The sequence below is a fragment of the Homo sapiens genome, chromosome 19 (assembly GCF_000001405.40).
Source record: "Homo sapiens chromosome 19, GRCh38.p14 Primary Assembly".
Classification (NCBI taxonomy): domain Eukaryota; kingdom Metazoa; phylum Chordata; class Mammalia; order Primates; family Hominidae; genus Homo; species Homo sapiens.
The window spans coordinates 30,438,538-30,461,294 of record NC_000019.10 but is presented as its reverse complement, the minus strand read 5'-3'; the positions used below and the strand labels follow the sequence as shown (position 1 = coordinate 30,461,294).

Sequence of the window (22,757 nt, the reverse complement as noted above, 5' to 3'; positions counted from 1 at the left end):
AGGTGGAGTTAAAAGGCGTGAGGTCACACAGAGGTGGGTTCAAATGCCAGCTCTGCCACTTCTAGCCTTACAACTCAATCCAACCTCTCCATGCCTCAGTTTACACAACCGCTGATACGCTGTCCCCTCCAGACCTCTGGGAATCTCTGGGAGGGCAGATTCCCAGTGATACCTTCTGTGGAACACTCCTGGGAAACAGGGAAATGGGAGCCCATGCCAGAGGCCTGGGCTCACCCTATGCCCAACCCCTCCGACGCGCCCACACGGCCTGACCCTGCAGTCTTATCTCCTTCTGTGTCCTTTCAGAGTGAGGACAAATGTAGGTTTGGGGGGCAGGCATCTTGTTTCTACCTGGGGAAGAGGCAGTGAAGGAGAAGGAGGTGCAAGGAAGATGACCAGGCTGTTCCCTTGTGCTTGAGAGGACATCCCAGGCCCTGCACCCTGAGTCGCAATCCCTGAGCTAACCACTGTTTTTCTGTGGCTTCCCAACTCTCTTTTATGTGTGGGCCATTCCCAAAGACAGGCCAGCTTCTCCTCAAGAGCAGGGAATCCCACCTTCCCTTCCTCTTGGGTGCCACCCCTTTCTCCACTAACATGATGAGGGACACAGTCCTGCACACACAGTGGCCACATGGAAGGATATGTCATTTGGCTTTGCTGGTGTCCATTGTCACTTCCTAGCTGAGATGAGACTCAGTATTACCAAAAAGAAGAGAACAGGCAGGAATGGACTCCTGGAGAAAGTGGCCAAAGAACTCGCTGACCCATGTAACACAGTCATATCTCTGTGATGGGAGAATGAGAGGACAGAACCTCGTCACCATGTGCAGACTCCAAACCACCTTGCTCAGGGAGGCCAGGACACCTCTTCAGGTATCCTGAGCAGGAGGGCCAGTGCCTCTGCTACTAGAAGAACCTCGGAGCGGTGACATTTTGGACACCATTTAGTTGCCCAAGCTCCATGCCTCCTCCTCCGTCTGAATCTCTGTGAGAAAGCTTCTCTCTGTCACATTCGGCCACGGGATGGATGAGCTGGCATTCTCTCTTTCCCACTCCTCCAAGGACTAACTTCCTTGCCATGAACCAAGTGGTACACCCCATTCCCCTGGCAGCAGTGACTGGTTCAGGAATGGGCATAATAGTACAAAAACACCTAGTAGGATGCAAGAAGATCATTGCTAGACCTCTAGAAAAAAGTGCTGCTCTGTTTGGTGGCATGGGGATGTGAGGTGTGAGCTATGGCAGCCATTTTGCTACTATGAGGTAAGTCCATGGGGTTGCCGTTTGAGCTGCTAACTCCACCTCAGTTAGAGTCCAGACCTTCCAGTTCCGTGAATCTCACTGCTCCTCTGTGGTTATAATTGTAGTTAAAGTCAGTTTGAATTGAGACTCACTGTGGCATGTTGGGCAGGAACTAAACCATCTTGAATTTGCTCCACACAGAGAAGGAAAGCTGCCTGCCTAGGACAGCATCAGTGACTGCTCGACAAGGGCACCCTAATCAACCTCCAGCGAAGAGAGCCTGATGCAAACAACTGGTCCCAACATCGCACTAGGGATATAGACAAATGGCTACCAGATTCAATGACACAAACCAGTGAGGCCGACCCCGTGAGCTGCACACCTCCCAACAGTCACTCTGCAGGCCAGGTACAGTGGCACAGGCCTGTAATCCCAGCACTTTGGGAGGCCAAGGCAGGTGGGTCACTTGAGGTCAGGAGTTCGAGACCAGCCTGGCCAATATGGTGAAACCCTGTCTCTACTAAAAATACAAAAATTAGCCAGGCTTGATGGGATGCACCTGGAGTCCCAGCTACTTGGGAGGCTGAAGTGGGAGAATCACTTGAACCGGGAAAGCAGAGGTTGCAGTGAGCCAAGACGGAGCCATGGCATTCCAGCCTGGGTGACAGGGAGAGACTCCATCAAAAAAAAAAAAAAAAGAGAGAAAGAAAGAAGGAAAGAAAGAAAGAAAGAAAAGGAAAGGAAAAGAAAGAAAGAAAGAAAAAGAAAGATGTACCCAAATGAAATAAACATTCAATGGGGTAAAAAAAAAAAAAATGAAAATGATAAAAATGAAAAACCAACCACTCCCCTGGCCAAGTTGCCCATTTTCACCTGTTTGTGTTTGTATTGTATAGCGTAGAAATAAACCTCATAACAGATGACGTCTATTGAGCACTGGAGTCTTCACTAAGGGCTTTATAAAGAGAGGCAAACACTACCATCGTCCTCATTTTTACATGGAGGAAACCAAGGCACAGAGAGGCTGAGGAGCCCTTGCTGGGCCACACAGCTCCTAAGGGCCAGCACCAGAGTCCTCGGCCACAGTTAACACACTCACAGACGTGCTGGGTAAAGCAGGGGCCCTGGCAGTGCCCCTCCAGCTGCAAGGCTCTGCCTCTATGGCATCCAGGAGAGATGGGAGGTGGAAGGGGGGCCCACGGGAAATGAGATAGAAGAGAGTCTCCCCAGCCCCTCACCAGGCACATGGGTCCCTCAGAGACGACACGATGAAGCTCAGATGCAAAAATCAGCAGGAAATCAGCCAGGCGTGGTGGCTCACGCCTGTAATCCCAGCACTTTGGGAGGCTGAGGTGGCCGGATCACCTGAGGTTGGAAGTTCGAGACCATCGTGACCAACATGGAGAAACCCTATCTTTACTAAAAATACAAAATTAGCCTGGTGTGGTGGCATATGCCTGTAATCCCAGCTACTCGGGAGGCTGAGGCAGGAAAATCTCTTGAACCTGGGAGGTGGAGGTTGCAGTGAACCGGAGATCACGCCACTGCACTCCAGCCCGGGCAACAAGAGTGAAACTCGGTCAAAAAAAAAAAAAAAAAAAAAAACAGCAGGAAATTGAGGAAATACTTGGACCCTAGGAACGTTAATTCTCTACTCAAGGAACAGCAGGTAAGACCCTTTAAAATCACCCCCAAGCCATGGAAACATTTAGGAAGGGAGAGGAGAGAAAGGTGGGGGAAACATTGAAAGATGAAGGAAAAATGGAAGCTGAGAGGCGTCTCCGAATCTTCTACACTTCCCCACCCAAATTCCCATGATGTGGAGGAAAAAGCCAAAGCCCAGAGAAGGAAAGCGAGCTGCCCAAATAGTCCAGCAGGATGACTAAACGCATGGCCCCGAAAATGTGTGTGGGGCCCGGCTCCAAAGTGAAGTGGGGACGTTCCGCCCTCAGCCTTTCCTTTAACGTGAGAAAATGTGTTTGTCTCTGGCTTAATATCTAAGTATATGACGTTTTGCTTCATCAGAAGATAAAGGGCAATTGACTAGAAGTCACTTCCACCCATTCTCATAGCAAGCCCTCGTTCAGTTCATGTCCCACCCACCACCCAAAAAGAAGAGGGGCCGTATCCACGAGTGCCTGCAATCCTCTGCTGCAGGCTGCAGATGGACGTTCTGACATACTGGGGGTGCAGCCCTCCCATGAGACACCCAGAGCCCCTGTGGGGCAGGTATGGACAGTTCCTAAGGCAGACAGGGAAATGGATAAAATGTGAGCCCTCCTTCCCAGTGTGGGGCCTCACAGGTTCTCTGCACGCTCCAGCTGCAGGGTCCCAGTAGGAGCCTCACACCCCTGACCACCTGATGTGTCTTCCTCCATTCATGAGCCACTGCCTCCAAGGACAGCATGGTCAGGGGGCCATGAGCTGGAGCCAGGAGCCTGCCTCTCACTTTCTGGTGTGGAGAACTGTCCTGCGTCCCCCAGAGTGCTCTCCCTCGGGGAGGCCCCCTATGTGGTGTGTAGGGTGCAACAAAGCTTTCACTGGGCCTCAGCAGCTCCCATCCTGCTCCGGCCCTCTCCCTCCCTTCCCAGCCTGGGATGCCTTCCTGGGAAGCACCCACTGGACTCTTCTCCCAGGGCCTCTTCTGTATGTGACAAGGCATTTACTTAGACTGTGGCTCCCAGCCAGGGAAAGAACAGCAGCCAGCCACAGTGGCTAAAAGAGACTTGTCTGCTTCCTCCAGGAAGTCACCAGGATTGGCCTAATTCTACAGAGGGAAAGAGTTACTCCTCCTTGCCAAAGAAGTCGCTGAGCTAATTGAAGTGGTTCCTTGCCCTTTCAGATCCTTTGAGAACAAACTGGGCACCAAGGTGCTCCCACAGGCCCCAGGGTAAACCCTCCCATGTGTCTGTCTCACTCTGTGAATTACCTGTCCAGCACCTAGAGGCTGTGGGCTTCCAGACACTGAGATGCATCTCTATTCATCTTTTTTTTTGTTTTTTTTTTTTTTTGAGATGAAGTCTTGCTCTGTTGCCTAGGCTGGAGCGCAGTGGTGTGATCACAGCTTACCACAACCTCTGCCTCCTGGATTCAAGCAATTCTCCTGCCTCAGTCTCCCTAGTAGCTGGGATTACAGGCGCCCACCACCACGCCCAGCTAATTTTTGTATTTTTAGTAGAGATGGGGTTTTGCCACGTTGGCCAGGCTGGTCTCGAACTCCTGACCTCAAGTGATCTGCCCACCTTGGCTTCCCAAAGTGCTGGGATTACAGGCATGAGCCACCGTGCCCGGCCTCTACTCATCTTTGCATCTCCAGCACCTGATGCCTTGCTCAGTGTTCAGAAGCCACTTAATAAGCATTTCATCATTCAGTGAATAAATAAGTGAATTAATGATTGAACAAACAAATGAGTGTATTTATGAATGAACAAATAAGTCACAGAGTGGCGTGGTGATAGGGAACTACCTAGCTTCAGGGAGACAGGCTTCAGTACAATCTTACGAGGGGATTTTCTCATGGTGCAAACACCAGCGTAAAACAAACAGTCTAGAGCCGCAGCACACAGTGGGTGGTTTAGCTCTGCCACCTCGGACTCACCAGCCTGTGACCAGAGAGTCTACTGCGAGGCAACACACCTAAGGAAATAATGGTGCAGAAGATCAGAATGATCGATGAGGTCACAAATGCTGCAGAAACGTACACCTCAGAGGTTGCATCTCAGGCAAAAAAAAAAAAAAAAAAAAGAAAAGAAACAAGTCCCGTGTTCACGAATCAGAGATTGGCTAAACCATTTTATAGATATAGAGTTTTTCTTGGATTCTCCATCTTTCTAGCATTTCCTCCATGTGCATATTACTTGTGTAAAGCTTGGGGAAAAAAAAGTATAACTATTACTATTAGGACAGGAATCTGCAAGCAACAGCCCAGGGTCCAAATCTGAACCATTGCCAATTTTTGCAATTTCAATAAAGTTTTATTGAAATACCATCACACTCTTATTTATGAAAGAATTGAGTGTTTACTACAGAAACCACATGGCCCCCAAAGCCGAAAATACTCATTAGCTGGTTCTTTACAGGAAAACTTTGCTGATCCTGGTGGGAAATGTTCAATGACAAGAAAAAATATGACATACATTTCAGTAAGAACTTACACAGAAGTATGTACTTTTTGGCTAACTACATTTTTAGTTGCATAAAAAGGACTGGAAAAGTATGAATTAAAAATGTTCACCTCGAGTTTGATAGATCAGTAGGGTGACGAGAGTTAACAATAATCTATTGTACATTTCAAAATAGCCAAAAGAGAATAATTCAAATGTTTCTAGAATAGAGAAAAGATAATACTTTTTGAGACAGGGTCTTGCTCTGTTGCCCAGGCTGGAGTGCAGTGACACAATCTCATCTCACTGCAACCTCTGCCTCTTGGGCGTAAGCGATCTTCTCACCTCACCCTCCCAAGTAGCTGGGACTACAGGCATATGCCACCGCTCTGGCTAATTTTTGTATTTTTTGTAGAGACAGGGTTTCGCTATATTGCCCAGGCTGGTCTCAAACTGCTGGGTTCAAGTGATCTGCCCACCTCGGCCTCCCAAAGTGTTGGAATACAGGCATGAGCCACTGGATCCAGCCAAGATAAATATTTAAGGTGATGAAGGTCCCAATTACCCTGATTCGATCTTTACACATTATATGAATGTATCAAATTAGCACAGGTACCCTAAAATCTATACATAAACTATGCATCGATAACAAAATATTTACTAGTTTAGTGAAAAAAAAAGTGTTCACAGTGATTATTCCTGAGTGGTGGTAGGCATACACATTTAATTTTTTTTATTTTTTATTTATCTGTATCTCTTAAATGTCCAAGATGAACAAGAATTACTTTATAGTAAGAAAAAAAGAATAGTGAAGTCATTGAACAACAACAGCATCATAAAGTCAGTGAACGGGACTCGTGGACGAGACCAAGTAGAAACTTTGTTTGTTTGTTTGTTTGTTTGTTTGTTTGTTTTTGAGATGGAGTTTTGCTCTTGTTGCCCAGGCTGGAGTGCAATGGCTTGATCTCGGCTCACCGCAACCTCCTCCTCCCGGATTCAAGCGATTCTCCTGCCTCAGCCTCCCGAGTAGCTGGGATTACAGGCGCCCACAACCAAGCCCGGTTAATTTTTGCATTTTTAGTAGAGACAAGGTTTTGCCATGTTGGCCAGGCTGGTCTCGAACTCCTGACCTCATGTGATCCACCTGCCTCGGCCTCCCAAAGTGCTGGGATTACAGGAGTGAGCCACCACACCCGGTCCCAAGTGGAAAGGTTTTGAAGGTCACTAAAAAGGACATTTCCGAGGGGTCTGGCCCCAGCCAGAGACGGACATGAACACTGCCAAGCCTTCTCTCTCAACAGGGATTATGATGCCACATAGCAGCTTTGCTGCAGGATCACTCCAATTTTTCAGGGCAAACTACTGAGTTTTTAAAAAATGAAATGAAACGAAAATAAAAACACATATTTTAGCAACAAATTTAAAAATATACATATTTAGCAATAAAGAGAAGCATGTATCTGTCTTGATCTTCAAGAAAACCACCACTGCATACACTTCATGTTGAACTCAACGTTAACATGTTGAACATGTTCCAGAATGCCTCTCAAGATGATTGAGGACAACTGAGAGTGTCCAAAAGCCACGATGACCACCACTGTGCTAAGAGTTTCTGGACATTACTTTAATGAAGAGAAGAGAGCACTGTGGCGCGATCCTGTTTCATCGTGCATCAAATGGTTTTGGAACTGAGGTCAGACAAAAGAAAAGAAACTAGCGTTGGCCAAAAGTCTAGTCCTACAAGTTGCCTCTGTAAAGGAAAGGACTGATTTCTCCGTGAAATGCCCTGGGCCCCATGGCACAGAGTAAAACTGAAAGGTTCCTAAAGGTAGACACTGCTTGCAAGAAAAGCTGGAAAATGACCCTGTCCTTTGGAAGCAAGTGAGGAGGTGTTAAAGCCAAGCCCGTCCTCATGCCCACATTGGAGGCAGCCTCCTGGCTGGGCACCGTTAAGGGGAGGGCCGGCCTCCCATGTGGTGTGGTGGGCAGCCAAGCCAAGGAGTCAGCTTGTGCTGTGCCTCTCGCTTCTCCCAGACACATGCCACATGTCACACAAAAACCCCAAGGCTCACAGCAACAAAGAGATGGGTCCCACAAGAAGCTAAGCCCTGGACAACTTTCTCTTGGGGGTGGTGGAAACAGGAGGCAAATGAATTCTGCCTGGACTGCTGCCCTTGCTTTCGGCATGGCCCCCGTTTTGCCCAGGCCCACCCATCAGGTAGCTGAAGATGGTGTTTGTTCAGACACGCATTGTTTTGGGACTCTGCAGTCTTTTTTGAAGATGTGGCTCAGGGAAAGGATGGTAGCAAATCTCTGTGCTTAGTTTGCCCTGTTTGTTGCAAGCTGAGCCGCTGAGTTCTAGATCCTGTCTCACAGGCACATTTCAGAGGCACAGCATTCATTTCTTATATTCTGCTAATCAGCCCTGCTATTACAGGGAAGGAACAGTCACTGACCAATCCCGGCTGGCGCCACCCCATCATACTCACAATATACAAGGACTTAGGTGAAGAGAGTAAGCAAAATGCAACACAAAACAAATAGATGGAAAATACAGCCCTAGTAAACCTAAACCAGACCTGGCTCGAGGATGAACCGAGGGCCCCACAGACAGCAAAGAGCCCACATGCACCCCGAGGTAGACCTGTCTTATCTACCTGGCTCCCAGGGAAACCCAGCCCGGCTCAGGTGCCTCAGTGAGCAGGTTCTGCCCAAGAAACAAGTCCCACAGCTCTGCCCAAGTCCTGTTCCCCTAAGTTCCTTTTGGGGGTGGGGGGGACACAGCTTTCTGAAAAGGGCTTTCCAGATGGCGCCTGGCTGCGGCAGTGCCAGACTCCACAGCTTAAGTAAATGTTGCCATCGCCCCATCCTGCCAGCAAAAGACAAGGGGGACCCATGGCCGCTCTCAGCTGCAGCAAAGCTCACTTCCTGGGGAGATCAGAGTCCCCCCACCACCTGCCCACCCCCCCGACACCATGCACCCCTCTTGGAGAGCCCCTTTCCTCTGCATTTGCAAGCCTCGCTCAGCCCCCGCCTCCTTCCTCCACATGCCAGCACCATCAACAAGGGTGGAGAGATGCACCCATCAGATGCCGACAGAGGAGAGGAAGACGAAGGGAGGTGAGACACCCAGAAGGGCAGCAAACAGGCCCAAGGGTCACAGATGGCAAAGGTTCCAGTCCAATCATCACGGATTTGGGAAGTGTGCACAAATCCAATCTCCTGATCTCTGCAGGTGTTTCTCCACCCCTGCCATCAATGCTCCAAAACAGCTCTACGGGTAAAGGAGTTAACTACTCACTCCCCTGACTTCCCAGGCTCAAAAGGCTTCCAAATGCTCCCTGCACAGTTCTTTCCCATGAAATTCACTGTCTCCATCTCTAGGTCTCCAAGTATACCCACGGTCTCTCTCTAGAACCAGTGGAATATCGAGGCCAGTATAACAGGCCTTGTTGAAGCCAGCCCTGTCCCCACCCCTTTGAGACATCAGGGCTACCTGCCAGAAACTTCTCAGGGAGAAGGGGCAGACGTGGGAAATGCACTGAGATGTAGAGGAAGAAAGTCTTACCTTACCCTTCCTGGGAACGCACTTCCTATGAACAGGACACAAAGCTTCAAACCAGAGAAAGAATTAGAAAGATAAGCAACCTGGCAGTGAAGGGATCTGGGCGGCCAGAAGGACCCCAATCTGCCCTCTATGCAGAGGCTGCCCCAGCTCTGCAGAAGTGGCCCCTGGCAGGGCTCACATAACACAGTGGGCATCATTTCCCAGCTACCTGAGTGCATGGTAAGCATGGGAGTGGGTAAGAGTCAGATCCTGGAAGCTCGTGATACCTGCTTCTGGCCAAACCATCAATCAAGGGACACCTTGTGGCTGTCTGCAAAGCAAATTACTAACTCCCACCCCAACACACCCAAGGTGGTGGTCAAGACCTGAGCCTGGAACCTCCCATTCGAGTCAATGGAAATCACGCAGCTAATGCTTCAAGCTCTGTTTTGAAAATTGACCGCTTAATTCCTTGCCTCATTGTAACCTGTCCTTAGCTAATCTATGTTTTCCTTATTTCCATTAAATTTAGGTTTAAATGAACTGTTCCGTCCCTTGCGCTAACATGCATAGGGAGGAGAGCTTCATGGAGCTCCTCAGAAGCTCCGTGGGCAGGAGTGTTGGAAACAGAAGGGCAGCCCAGGCAACAGCGGTGTCCATCCCACAGATGGGCCAAGTGAGGCCGCCAGAGAAACACATTTGAGTGACTCCGCGGCCTCGAATCTAATCCCTCACAAGCAAAACCATGTCCTGCCTGTTAAGTGCTGGAGCAGAGAGGGTGCTCTGCCTCTGCAATTTTATGCCACACATCTCTGATGTTACACTCCTAGTCTGAAGACTTTCAGAGCCTGTGCAAGTACCCTCTTTCTGAAATGCCAAGTGACGGTGGACTGGCATCAAGCAGCCCCGGAGAAGCGGGATTTATGGCTCCATGTAAAGGGGTCAGAAAGATGGTAAAAGCCCCGAAGTGTTACTGATTGTTCCCAAATCATCGCTCCTAAGCACGAGATGATACAAGTCTACCAAGTGAATGGGAAGTTTATAAAAAGAAACTGCTGGTAGGCATCCGGCTCCGGGGAAGGAGGAGGATGATGTGACAGCCGCACATGAACCAGCATCTGAGAGCAACGGCGATCCCGGCACGAGCAGGGCGTCCCAAGTGGACAGACCACCCTTGGGCCCCAGCGGAAAGGTGGCCGCCAGGGGAAGACACGGGGGCCTCTGACCCTGTGCCCCATCTGACATTCCCCAGGAGCCACCTGACCAGCCGGCTTATTCGCCTAGGCGGGCGGCCACCTCAGCTCTCGGCTCTCAGCTCAGGGGACGGGCCTTGGCCGGCGTCCGCCTGGGCACAGCTTCGGCACACACGAGCCGATCCTCCGTAAATCTCCGCAAACACGGCGGCCGCCTGCACACGCTTCCACGGCAGAGACCGAAGGGCTGCATATGGCGCTCGGCTTTCACAGCTGAGCTTTAAAAAAAGTGCAGCTTTTCATCTCACTGAACCAGTTCCCAAATTAGGAGGTGGGGAAGGAAGGCTGGAGTTGGGGTGGGCTGGGGGCAGAAAAATAAGGAAGCAGGGGACAGGGGGAGGCGTAGGGGGAACCTTTAAGGCTAAATGTGATTTTAAAAGGAATCTCAGACTATGATCTGTTCATAAGGTCCCTCTGGAAAATTAAATAATGTTGCCTATTTGTCATCCCCAAATTGACTAATTTCAAGTTCCTAATATCATTTTTAAAATGATTTTTTAAATATATAACAATGAAGGAGGCTATCTAAGAGGGCATCACTCACATGCTTGAGCCTGGGCTAAAAAAATTTTTAAGCATTATTTATAAATGGGATTATTGTTTTCCAAAGTTCTCCTCCACAAAGAGATTAGCTGCCACCATGCCCAGGGGGGTCTCCCCAAGTCCTTTTTAATTCCCTGCCTAGAGGTGGAAGGTGGTTGGACTGGAACAGGAGGAAGAAGCCTGCTCCGGCAGTTTTCCTGGAATTGCCTGGAAACTTTTACTTTCTGTTTCCTCTGCTGATAATGACTGTCTTCGGCTCTGCAGCCAGCTCCCCTCTCCCCCCCTCCAGCCCCCTGTTGCTGCAGCCTCCCCGAGCTCCGGTATAAAGTTTGGCTTTTGCAGCAGGAAGCAGCTGGGCCAAGCAACCAGCGAATGATAATGACCTCAGAAATCTGCTGTTCGCTCGGCAACAATAGGGTGCTCAGTCTACTGGAAAATTGTGTTCATCAGCTAACTCTGCTCAGTTACTAATTGACATTGCCAAATATTTTAAGAACAATTGGAATGCACAAGCAAAAAAAAAAAAAAAAATGAAGATCTTAATCCTCAAACTCAAATTTTTTTTCTTTTTCTTTTTCTTTTTCTTCTTTTGGGTGCCTGGATTTGTTTGTGTGTGGAGCAGGCACCGGTTATCGTGAACGGGGGCAGGGAGGGGGAGCCACATGAGAAAAAGAGGTGGAAAAGAAAGAAAATCTATCATATCACTATACACCCCATGTAAATGCGAAAGCGCCCCAGATAAAGGCCTTTGATGCTGTGGTCAATGGGATGGAGACCCAGCATTTCAGGAATGCAGCTCTAACAACAAAAGAAGACCTCGCAAGGCTTTTAGCCCAGCTGACCAAATAATCCTTGTCCATCTCAAAATATTATACCAGAAGTAGTAGGGGTTAACGATATTTTCATCTTCGCATCTCTCCCTGGCTTTCCATTGATCCTGTAACTTAGCCGACTTTATTTAATGAACAGAGGGTCAATGCATTCAATTACCCCCTTCCCACCATCAACACTTCAATTATCCCCACTCCAAAATTATGTGGAATTCAGAAGGTAACTGCCCTGTTGGATATAATGAACAGTATCATTTCTTAGTACATTAAGTTTTAATTATTCTGAGTGTGATTTCCAAAGCAAAATCTGAAGAAACAGAACTTTGGTTGTGTTCTGACTCAGAGCAAAGCGAGGATTCGAGCTCAGCCCTAGAGGAGGTTTTAGAGAAAGATGCAAAGATTAATGCCATAAGAGTGTTTGCATGCAAGCCAGAAATGAGGAGGCATCGAAACAGCCACCCCGCTTTCTAAATGCCATAAAAGTAAAATTAATAAGCTGCTGCTTTCCAAACAGTTTCTCTTTGCATTGTACACGGAGGCTACATTGAATGACATTGACCACGGTGTGAAATTACTGGTAAGTCAAATAAACAACAACAAAACAAAAATAAAACAAAGGGGGAAGATGGGGAAGTGATCTGTGTGACTAGTTTTGTCCATTTTCTGTTAGAAAATATGACCTCTCAATTTGTCAGAGGTCCTAGTTTTCGCAGTTGATCTTAAGCTTGGTTCTCAGCAGTTTGGAGAGCCAAAGAACAAACACATTTTCTGGTTCACTGGAATCATTTTCACATGTTCACTGATTCAAACATTCTTTTGCTCACATAACAAACAGCTGCATCCCACATTAGCCTAGCCAGTGACAGTCGCCCATCTCGGCAATAACTGTTTGATTGCAAACTTGACCCCTTCTTCATCTCGGTCTGAGCAAGACATTTTTAAACAGCCACTCCGTTCCCAATCCTTCTTTGCAAAGAATTACATCAGATAACAAAGGACGTCTCTGCCACTCATTGTAAGCCTTCTTCTAGAGATCTGTTCTAAGAGGCTCTGTAAAAAGGTTTTTTATGATGAATTCAGAACTACTATCATGTTAAGAGCAGCGATTTATAAAGAAGAATTCATTGGTTAAGATCTGAAAAAATAGTTTCTCAGGCCCTACTGACCCAGTTTTCAACAAAAAAAAGAATCAAGTGATGCAAATTAAGTTTTGCGACATTGTTATGCAGTCTGAGAAATTTGTAAAACCGTGTTTTGCAGTTATTTCTTAATAGAAGCCTTAATAAGTACTTCTTTCTTTACTTAAGGGCTTAAAGATTTTTTCTCTCTCTCTCCTTCACCTTGCAGGTTTCTCTTTAACAGGTAATAATAAAATACCCATTGTATCCAGATTTTTATTTAAATGCTTATTTTAATCGCACTTCTATACAAGTCAAACTTGTTGGAAATAAGAGGGAGGACTAACCAGATTTGGTTAAGAGTCCTAAATCCCAGGGAAACCTGAATGCCCCAGACGCACAGCTGATTCGGGTTGTATATTGGTATGCCCTCAATTCTCCTACTTAGTCAGAAAATTATGAAAGGGTCTAATTTGAATATGAAGAAAACAAAGAAGTCAACCAGAAATGAAAGAATCAGTATTCACAATTGTAAAATACTTCAATGAGGGGAAATAAAAGTGAGAAGATAACCACAACTCAAGTATAATTCTCTTTTGAGTCATGAGCACGGTTGGTTCTTTTTAAGCAAAATGGGTTTTTTCAACCAAGCACTGAGAGATAGGCAAGCAACAGAGATAGGAATAGCATGAGGCTATCACTTGGCCAGAAGGTGAGAAAAACACGGTAAACACGTCATTAATGAAGCTGAACATTTGGTGTCAGAATATTCTGCCGAGACCCTTACATTTCAGGAGGTCTGAGAGAGGGATGGAAATCTGTCAATGTTAACTCCATGTCACTCTAAAAACTTAGGGGAACCAGTTTGCTGTCTGCACCCTGTCCTGTAAAGGTCCTAATCCAGAATCAGAAACGACACATGCCAGAAGAGCAGACCTCATCCTAGGAGGCCAGAAAGAGCTCCTCCTGACATTGGGACACCTGGCACTTGGCTGCCTCTCAAGTAGGGATCTATCTTTACATGGTGAAAACCCTTCCCTCGAATCTTAGTATGTTCCATGTGACAGTCGCTCCAGGTAGTGTGACCTCACGCCTCCTTGGCACTCATGCTGCTGGTTAGACACTTCCTAAGTGTCTCATCCGTAATAAATCCCAAACAAGTCTAGGACTCCAGGAGTAGACAGTGTGTTTCATGGGTATTTAAGCAGCGGCATTAAGTGCTATCGGAATCTCTGGAATGTGCAGACCAGATTTATGTGTCTTAACAATTCTTTACTGGTTTGTAATAAGCCGGCAGAGTCCCACTTTATTTTAATACTAATTTTGTCCTAGAAGAAGAGTATGCTTAAGCAAGACTATAACAGCAAAGCTAAAACTGGCATCTACTTAATAAGTGCAGCAGTGAATTGCCTCCAAGATCGAAATAGGTATCTAAACCAAAGAGTGAGGGTGGGGGGGATCAAGAAAGAAGAAAAAACTTTTAAAAAATGACCCTCAACAGGGTGCTGCTACGTCTTTAACAGTGGGCAAGGCAGTGCCTCGAGGTGCCTCAAACTGTCTTTCATTTTCTAGACTTAATGGCTGATTGCAGAAATCAATGTTGCCATTAGTAACAGGGTATTTGTTATGGCATGATTTCCTCTGTTGTTAGGCTGCAGAATGATTACAGTATTAGCGAGGTGCTTTCTTTATAAAGGGCTAGAGATAACTTTCAATTTACTATCCATTAGTAAGGGGCTTTGGAAATATGGATGAAGGCAACGCCTTACCTGCTGTTAGGTGGTGATTTTAATTTAGCCGTCTGAGGCTAGCGTGTTTTGTTGTTGTTGTTGTTGTTGTTGTTGTTTTGGTTTTTTTTTTAAACTGGGCCAGGAAGCTTCATAATTTCACAGACATTTTGATGACAGATTTTCTGCTTTGCTATTTTAGACCCCAAAGCTGTATCAGCCGTGTAACACAGTACAATTTAAGACAGAACAGTCATGCGTCTGTGTTTCAAATGCCTGTACTTTTCCAAACCATCAGAGGAAAGTGGTGGGGCTCTTTAGGTCACACGGATCTGGCAGGTGAGCCACGTTGTAATTTTGGAAGGGGCCAGAAGATAGGTTTGGCTTGGGGAGGGAGACTGCGGTGCCTGCATGAGAGAATTATGGGAATACGCTAAGGGGGAGAGAAAGATGGTGAAGTTTGGAACTTACACATTCATACCCAGGGATAGAGCAGAATGCCAGCTCCTGAGTTCCAGAGACCAGATGATGGCCGACAGCGTCAGGCGGTGAAATGGGGTTGGACAATTGCAAGAAAAAGGTAGATTATGCCCACTGAAAAATGTACCACCTGGCCATCTCCCGCACAACTTTCTTTTTTCTTTCTTTCTTTCTTTCTTTTTTTTTTTTTTTTTTTTTTTTTTGAGACAGTGTCTCACTCTGTCGCTCAGGCTGGAGTGCAGTGGTGTGATCTTGGCTCACTGCAGCCTCCCCCTCCCGGGCTCAAGCGATTCTCCTGCCTTAGCCTCCCGAATAGCTAGGATTACAGGCATGCATCACCACATTTGCCTAAATTTTTGGATTTTTAGTAGAGATGGGGTTTCTCCATGTTGGCCAGGCTGGCCTCGAATCCCTGGCCTCAAGTGATCCACCGGCCTCGGGCGCCCAAAGTGCTGGGATTACAGGCGTGAGCCACCACACCCGGCCTCAACTTACTTTCTTGGTAGCCAGTGTTCAAGGGAAGGCCTAAGAGGTGAAAGGACGGCCCTTTCCCTCCAGTCAGGGGGGGAAAGAAAGGCATGGCCCAGTGTCCAACCCACCCCTGTCCTCAATCAAGACCCACTGGCCTTGGAACTGACTGGAGGCCTGGGAGCAGAACCAGGCAGCCCTGAGCAGGGCTGCTGTACAAGCTGCTTCTCCCCGCTTCTCAGCTAACCTACCTGAGGAGGATGGCGAGGAGGGGTGCGGGCTGTCCTCCTGGGCACTCCCGGTCTGGGAGAGGCCGCCTCCGACCCCGCTCTCCTCGGTGACGTTAGAGGAGCCCGGCGTGGTGGAGCGGCTCACCGACTGGGACTCCTGGTCACTGCCCGAGCCACGCCGCTCATCCAGGCCCACGTGCAGCCCATCCTCCTCGCCCTTGCGGTCCCGCTTGTGGACACGGGAGTGCACGACCACCTGGTGGTAAGTGCGGAACACCCGGCCGCAGTCGGGGCACTCGGTGGGCTTCTCCTTCATGTTCCCAGGACCCTGCAGGTTATACTCGAGAGTCTGGTTCAGCCCGTGTGACAAAAAATCCCGACTGCTTTCTAAAGGGTCGAGCTTACTTGGCAGGTCTCTCTGGCTGCCCACTTTAGTGCTGTGAACCAAATCAGCAGGCATTTTCTGCTTGGAGCCATCTGCTCCCACTAACACGTACTCCCGCTTCTCCTTATCAAACAGAACCCCGGCGTTTGCCAAAGTGTCTTCGTGGTTGCGCTGCAGCGGATGCTCTTTAGACAAGAAGCCATGTTCCATGGCCATGCCCCTGGCCATGAGCTGCCAAGCCTGGTAGCTGTTCACGGGGTCCATCTCCGCAGCCTTGGCAGCCGCCTGCAGCCGCTCGATGCAGCTGGATTTCAGCGGCGGCACGAGATTGAGGCATCCCAGGAGGGAGTGCTTGTCCCCCTCCGGGACGCCGTGGGCCATGCTGGAGATGGGAGACAGCAGCTTCCCCAGCGCTTCCTTCTCCTTCATGGGCAGCTCGCCCTTGCCATAGAGCTGGCTGGGCTCGCTCAGGCCGGCTTTGTCCGGGGTCATGAAGCCACTCTGCAGGCAGGAGAGGTACCTGGAGTACAGGTTGGCGTGGGCCTCCTGGGACATGCCGCCCATGGGCACAGGCACCTCGGGGTCGCTGGGGGACTTGTTCTTCACCGACAGCTTGTTGAGGTGGACCTTCATGTGGTTCTTGAGGAACCAGGGCTCCTTGAAGCGCCGGCCGCAGATCTGGCAGCAGTGCTCAAAGGAGTCTTTGTGCTTGCGCATGTGACCCTTGAGGAACCACGCCTGGCTGAACACCTGACCGCACACCTCGCAGCGGAACTCGTTGGCCGACTGCTCGCCACCGCCGTTGGGGCCCTGGCCCTGGGCCGACTCGGCCGTGATGTGTGCCTTCTCCACGTGGCTGATGAGCTCCTCCTCCTGCGAAGCCGCGAAGTCGCACAACGTGCACTTGTAGGGCTTGTGCAAGATGCGGATGTGGCGGTCCAGCTCCTCGCGCTTCTTGAACTTGCCCTTGCAGAAGGTACAGCGGAAGCCCGCCGCCGGGGCCACCGCGTCCTCCTGCACGCTGGCAGGCTTGGGCGAGGGCACCGGGTGGGCCACGTCGGGAACGCTGTGGTTAGCCTGCAGGGCCAGGGTGCAGGCGGCCAGCGGGGCCTGCTGGGCGTGCGGCGGGGGCTTCAGGTCCGGCCGGGGCTGCAGCAGGCTGCCTTTCAGCTGCTTGTCCCGCAGGATGGCGCGCTCCTCCAGCTCGTGCAGCAGGCGGTTCTCCTCGCGCACACGCCCACGCCCCTTGCCCAGGTTGCCCAGCTTGTGGGTCCGCAGGTGAATCTTGAGGTTCCCCTTCTGCGCCGCCCTGTGGTCGCAGTACGGGCACTTGAAGGGCTTCTCGCCCGTGTGCGTGCGCATGTGCAGGGAGAGGATGCTGTTGAAGCGGAAGCGCTTGCCGCAGAGTGGGCACGGGTACTTGCGGTTCTTGCGGGCGTCGTCCTCGATGTCGCTCATCTGGGACATGATGCCCAGGTTCTGCCCGTTGAGGAACTGCTGCAAGTCCACCCTCCCGTTGAGGCTGGTGTCCACCTCCCGGCCCAGCTGGTTGGCCAGGAGCGCCATCTGACTGCCCATGGGCTGGCCGCTCATGGGCACGTGGGCCTTCTCCTCCAGGGATGCGGGGGGCTTCTCCTCGGGGTTGGGCCGGGGATGGAGCTCGGGGAAGGCATGGCTGAGCTGGGAGGTGATCTGGTGCAGCTTCTGACTCATGGCATACTGGCCGTTGAGGACGGGGCCACTCAGGTGGGGCTCAGCTTCCGGCTCCGCCGAAGACACTCCAAGGCACAGGCTCGCTTCTTCCATCCCTGAAAAGAGAGGCAGAGTTCAGATCCGTGCCAGGTGCGGCTGTGGCGCCATGAATCAACAGCATTGGCGGGCAGGGAATTTCCATTTCATGCCTTACCTACACATAATCATGCTAAGGAATTCTTGTCAAAAACAATAATAAAAAAATGAATTATTAAATGCCAATTATGCAATATGGCATTGCTCCTCCAATTTGTTTTGGCGACAGATCGTCTTCCTTGTATTTTCTATTTACAGACTGCAATTATTCATTCACCTTTAAATTATTAATGTTTTACCACTTTCAACACCTAATAACAAATCAAGGGTCTACGTGTGAAACTTTTTCTCCGTTGCCCCATTGTCGCACCTGTACCTGTTGGTTCCGTCCAAAGTTTGCCTGAGAGCAGAATGACTTTCCCTGTAAGACCAAATAAACCCACTTGGAACTTCTGTTTCCGTTTACTATATTCAGTACATTCACCAGTCTGAGATGAAAGAGATCATTTTATGATTTGGCCAAAAAAAAAAAAAAAACAAACAAAAAACACTCAATGGCATGATATTTACTGGTACATAATAAAACAAGATAATGTTTTGGGAAAAAATAAAGTAAAGGACAGGCTTTAGAATAATAAAAGGGATTTTGCTTTAGTCAACAAAAAGTGCAGTAATATCTCATTAAGCTGATTAGTATGCTGCTTAGAAACAGTACTAGGTGCTGTAACACATGATTATAATCATAAAAATCCTTCAGTGTTTGCAAGGAAGCATTAACGAGGTATATTAAATTTTAAGGAGACTGCGAGTAGCGGCTTTGCAAACCTCAGAGATTAAGATTTAACCCTTATGTTACGAAACACTGTTATTTTATCATTTGGTAACTGTGCCCATCAAAAGAAGTATAAATTATCTCCTGACGGAATCTTAGCAGATTGTTGAAGTTGTTCAAATTTGGGTCAAAGGAAACACCGATACCTTATAATGGGGCTCTTCCCATCCTTCAATGGCAAGATATCCAAAGCAGGGACTTTGATTGGGTTTAAAGAGGTCTTTTATAGAACTAGATAAAAACCCATTAAAATCCAGGAATGATGCCATAGGAAGTCTCAACCAAGTTTGAGTGTTTTTAATAACTTTCCCAATATACAATAATGAGTACAAATTGTACCTGCAGTATGTGTTTTGCAGAAAATTAGAACTCAAAGTTGTTTGTTAAACACTATCGTTCAAAGCTGGTCTGCATAATTGTCTTTAATAGTCCTCTCTGCCCCCTCTTCAGCCTGTGCAGAATGGCTAAAGCCAGATGGCTCCAGGGAGGGCAGAGGAAACAGCCCCTTCCACATTGGAGCACGTGGGGAGCTCAGCTTTGCAAGGCAATGAACCCCTGCCTGGGATCCTTCTATTTCCAGCTATGTCTCCCACCTGAAGGAGTCCAAATTTGTTTCCTGCCATTGGAATCATCTTTGCACACACCTCTCCTCTTGCATCCCATTGTTTAGATGTGTTGGGCAGCCAGGTGGTCCAGGAGCTGCGCTTAACCCCAGCCGGGACTGATTTCTGGGCTAAGTGATTAACCAGGGAGACCTATGGGGACAGAGCTCAACTGTGGAGGAAGCACAGGCAGCCTCGGCAGGGTCTGCTGCTTGCTGGGCCTCCCGCCAGGAGACTGCGTGGCATGGAGGGTCTCCAATGGGAGACCTGACTTCCTTGGCAGGAGGAGTCTATCTTGCAAGGGAAGGGAAGAAAGAGCCATGAATGTTTACTTCCAGGAGGCAGAGGGATTACAGTGGTGGTGCTGGGCCAACTTTGTCCACGAATGAAAGATATGCACAACTGTGCAAAGCGTAAAGGTGCATGGGCACTTGCCATAGGAGAAGGCTTCCAGCTTGTCATCTTTCCTTTTTGCTTCTGGGGGCAGTCTACACTCAAATTTTTTTAAAATACGCGGGCCCATTTTGGAGGTTGGTCAGAAAAAAGCTAATATCCCATGGAGGTTGCTGCATTCATTCAACAGACTTACCGAGATCCTTCCATGTGCCAGTCCCTAGCCTTGCCACTGGAGACATGATGGTGGACAAGACCCACCAGCCCCAGGACTCATGACACCCACTATCCAGCAGGGAGGAGCAGGCACAGTGTACAGAGGTTGCTGGAGGCTCCAGGCAGAGACTGGTGGCCCCAGGGCCCTGTCTGGCACCCTCTCTCCACCTTCAAGCCCCATACAGCTGCACTGGCTCCTCTTCTGAGCCAACAGGGATCATGACCCTGAAGCCACACAGGATTGCTCAGAATTCCACCCAACAGCTCCATGGAAGTTTGGAAAGTCCAAGGCCAACAGGGCTGGCCCACTTCCAAAGGCTGCCCAGTTGGCCAGCTCAGAAGACATGAATCCAGGAAGACGGGCTATTTTCAGGTTGCTGCTGATGAGCTGACGCCAATTCAGCAGGAGGGAAAGAAGGCTGAATGTGCAATGCGGCGAGACTGCAAATCAGCTTGGATGAGGGGCATGGAGTTGAAGACCATGTCCCCCAACACCACCACCATTCATGCTATGCAAGTGACAGCTCAACTCGTCAAATAAGGAATGTGAGAGTTTTCAGATTTGGTTTGAGTATGGAATTCTTTTATTTTTTTCAAATCTATCTATCTATCTATCTATCTATCTATCTATCTATCTATCTATCTATCTATCTATCCTGGCCAGAGTTAACAAAGATTTGTAATCTCTTTAAGGTCTTTAAATGCCTTTGCTAGATCCTCAGCTGAGGATAGAATGTTCTAGAACATGCATGCTGCCCCGGCTCTTTCATAGTTGGCTCTGTTCTTATTCTTGTGGGTCTGAGCTCACACATCCTTTCTCACAAAAGCCCTCTGTGCCCACCCTGTCTGAGGCTGACACCCCAGCCCCTCTCTGTCCCAACATGTTACTTTCTTCTACATAGCATTTGCCATGGGGGCAACATTTTGTCATTGGTCCTTTTACAGACATACTTCATTCCCGTGAAGGCAGAGGATATGTCTGTCTTGGTCAAGGATGAAGCCTTGGGTCCTAAGGCAGAGCTGGCTTATCTTAGGTTCAGTGTGTCCTAAGTGAATGGATGAATGAGTGAATAGAGACTCACTCTAACCTCAACTTGATGTGGCCTAACCTCGGCCTTTGCACAAGTCCAGAGCCCTTAAAATCAGTCATGTGACCTAACCTCAGCCTTCGCACAAGTCCATGAGCACCTACGATCCGAATCGGACAGAGTTGGAAGGGTCCCTGGCTACCACTGAGAAGCTGAAGGTTCAGAAACCACCAAGAGAAAGCCACCTCTGGCCGGCCATGGTGGCTTATGCCTGTAATCCCAGCACTTTGGGAGACTGAGGTGGGCGGATCACTTGAAGTCAGGAGTTCGCGATCAGCCTGAACAACATGTTGAAACTTCGTCTCTACTAAAAATACAAAAATTAGCTGGGTGTGGCGATGGGTGCCTGTAATCCCAGCTACTCGGGAGGCTGAGGCAGGAGAATCACTGGAACCCGGGAAGTGGAGGTTCCAGTGAGCTGAGATCATGCCATTGCACTCCAGCCTGGGCAACAGAGCGAGACTCTGTCAAAAAAAAAAAAAAAAAAAAAGAAAGAAAGAAAAAGAAAAGAAAGAAAGAAACAAAAGGAAAGGAAAAGCTGTCCACACCCCTAACTCTCACAGTCTAGGTGTCCATGGTTATCACCCCAGGCTTGGACCACCCCTGATGGCCCAGTTGCTGAATACTAGGAGACACAGCAATGGTTCCCTTTAGAACTTAACTGACCGTCACTGCCCATGGGAGACCCCAGGGTTTCAGAGGAGCTGACCAGCTCCCTAGGAGATGCTTCCAGGATACTGGTCCCCAGCCCTTGAATAAGCCTGGGAGAAGCCTGCACAGAGCCTTACTGGGAGAAAGGACCACGACAGTCAGCTTAGAATCCTCTGTGATTCCTCGAGCAGGTGCAGCCGAGGCCGCTGCAATGGGGCAGTCATAACTGATGCCTGCTGCTCGACTTAGAGCAAGAAAGGGAAGCACGAGTTCCTGGAAAGAGTATGGGGTAATTGGTGTGCTGTCTCTGCGCCAAAACAGCCGAGGCAGGACAAGCTGGCCCCAGGCCCGGCCTGGGACTCACAAAACCTGGGTCGGCCCCAATTTCTCCAGCCTTGACACTTCACCCATCCAGAATGCGTTTATTCCTTACCTTAGCCATTCAGTCAATATTTGCCAGGGACCTTCCATGTACCTGCCCTCGAGGGCCTGTTCATCTAAGGGGCCAGCGTGAGTGAGTGTCCACAAGTAACAGGGAGCAATGAAAGGTCCCTTCGAGGCTGAATGCAAAGCTGGGGAAAAGATAAACCATCGCAGCTTTGGTGTCTAAGGGTGTGTGTGTGTGTGCGTGTGTGTGCAATAATTATGTCTGTGTTGAGGGAAGGGTGGGGAGTCCCTACCTGATAGCCCTCTAGAAATGTATACAAATGCCTACACTGGGAAACTAAGGCATCATTTATCCTACTGTTAAAGGATTGAATCCAGCTGCAGACATAAGAGCTCATGGGGCTGGAGGAAGTGGAGCTGCCTGCAAACGATAAGACCTGTTGGAAGGGACCAGACGCAGCGGCTCACACCTGTAATCCCAGCACTTTGGGAGGCTGAGCCCCAGGAGTTTGAGATCACCCTAAGCAACATGGCAAAGCCCCATCTCTACTAAAAATATAAAATAATTAGCCAGGCATGGTGATGCGTGCCTGTAGTCCCAACTACATGGGAGGCTGAGGTGGGAGGATCACTTGAGCCTTGGGAAGTCGAGGCTGCAGTGAGCTATGATCCGTACCACTGCACTTCAGCCTGGGCGATGGGAATGAGACCTTGTCTCAAAAAACAAAAATAATTTAAAAGATAATTTTTTAAAATTTCAAATAAAAGACCTGCTGGAAGGTCTTATTATCCCTTTTCCCAGCCCACCAGGGAGTGAGCCTTCCCTTTCAGACCATGCTGCTCCCTTACAGGCCCCATAGGGAATATCCCTGGA

The 22,757-nt window shown here is 48.9% G+C and overlaps 1 protein-coding gene across 46 annotated transcripts in view, besides 1 other annotated feature; it reads right to left on the bottom strand.

The window, feature by feature from the left end:
- ZNF536 (zinc finger protein 536) overlaps positions 1 to 22,757 on the bottom strand; it is a 487,995-nt gene that overhangs the window by 252,292 nt on the left and 212,946 nt on the right. For all 46 annotated transcript variants that reach the window (XM_047439770.1, XM_011527554.3, XM_047439763.1 and 43 more), the window contains one exon: positions 15,563 to 17,734. In XM_047439770.1, coding sequence (XP_047295726.1) covers positions 15,563 to 17,732 — 2,170 coding nt within the window. In that variant the 5' untranslated portion in view covers positions 17,733 to 17,734. The remainder of the gene's footprint in view (positions 1 to 15,562; positions 17,735 to 22,757) is intronic.
- Positions 3,131 to 3,641: an enhancer, noted in NCBI's record as "H3K27ac-H3K4me1 hESC enhancer chr19:30948561-30949071 (GRCh37/hg19 assembly coordinates)". NCBI's record gives its function as "activates a minimal SCP1, AML or CMV promoter by ChIP-STARR-seq in naive H9 embryonic stem cells {active_cell/tissue: H9 hESC(naive)}" and the evidence as "EXISTENCE:reporter gene assay evidence [ECO:0000049][PMID:30033119]".